This window comes from Homo sapiens, chromosome 1, assembly GCF_000001405.40.
Source record: "Homo sapiens chromosome 1, GRCh38.p14 Primary Assembly".
NCBI lineage: Eukaryota > Metazoa > Chordata > Mammalia > Primates > Hominidae > Homo > Homo sapiens.
Window position 1 is genome coordinate 93,979,272 of NC_000001.11, and position 1,220 is coordinate 93,980,491.

Consider the following 1,220-nt stretch of genomic DNA (forward strand, 5'->3'; position numbering starts at 1 on the left):
GAACCACTCCTGGGCTCTCTGCATATGGCTTCAGCATTGTTTCAACCCCCTTCTCCATCCTACCTTGCTGTTACAGTCCCAAGATTTGTTTCTCACTAGTGTTTTAGGTCCTGCAACTGCACTGTGTTTTTGAGAAGAGAGTCTGACATGTATACGCAGTACATGCCATTTGGCCTTTGCTTGATACCTGTCTGCTCCTCTGCTGTTCTTTTTAATTAAAAGGGAGAGAGGTATGTATGCGGGCTGGAGCAGGACTGGGGCCGTTAAGACTTGAGCCTGGTCCTGGCTCTGGCATTCAGTTTCCCTCTGACCTCAGGCAAGTTCCCTAAACCTTGGCTTTTTTATGGGCTTTAGTGAGTAGCCTGGCTGTTTCTTGGAAAACATGTTAAATATGTTGAAAATGCTAAATATTGAAAATACTTTCTCAGCTGCATCCTTTGGCAAATTCCAGATTCCTTCCTATCCGTCTTTGGTTTTGCAAGGTCCAAGGTCAGATATCCTAGTTTCCCTCTGCCTAAGCCTCTTCAGTTAGCTGGCCCAGTTTTCAGGGAAATAGGAATATGAGGCATAGACATTCATTAATTGTAGCTGTTAAAATTCCCAAGCAAATCCAAGTAGAATGTGGTTATGAAAGCCAAGGCCTGTTGCCAAAGAAAGATGTGTGTGTGTGTGTGTGTGTGTGTGTGCATGTGCACGTGCATGTGCGTGCATTGTGGGATATGTGCTTGTTATATAACTTCTGATCCTTGATCCCTGGATGTTATCCAGTGAGTAGCTGGTTGGATTTGGGGCTTAACATGGCTTGGGAGCTGTTTGGAGCCTTGGTGGGAACTAGATGACTCTGTGTTGTCTCAATCCTGCTGTGTAAATAGTCTCTTTCCCTGATCCATCTGCCACAGCCCAGCTGCTTTTCAGCTCCAGTGATCCTGCTTACTGATTCTCCTAGAGACAGAGATCTGAATGGTTGGTGAGGAGCCCATCCCAGGCTGGCAGGAAGGATTCTGGGCACTCTGGGGACATCTTTAATGGACTGTACCGTAAGATATTTTCAGTGTGGGACTTCCAAGCTTGCTCTGTCAAGGAACTTTAACATCCTGTGCAGCTGCTTGAGTTCTCTGGAGAGAGCTGTCTGTCCCACCTGAGCTGAGTTCCCTTCCCCCTCTAAACTAAGCTCCTTCCTCCTCTAAACTAAGCTCCTTCCTCAGAGCTGACCCAGGGCC

General features: G+C 46.9%; 1 annotated feature.

The window, feature by feature from the left end:
- Positions 682 to 976: an enhancer, noted in NCBI's record as "tiled region #9909; HepG2 Activating DNase matched - State 1:Tss". NCBI's record gives its function as "activates a minimal TATA promoter and a strong SV40 promoter by Sharpr-MPRA in HepG2 cells {active_cell/tissue: HepG2}" and the evidence as "EXISTENCE:reporter gene assay evidence [ECO:0000049][PMID:27701403]".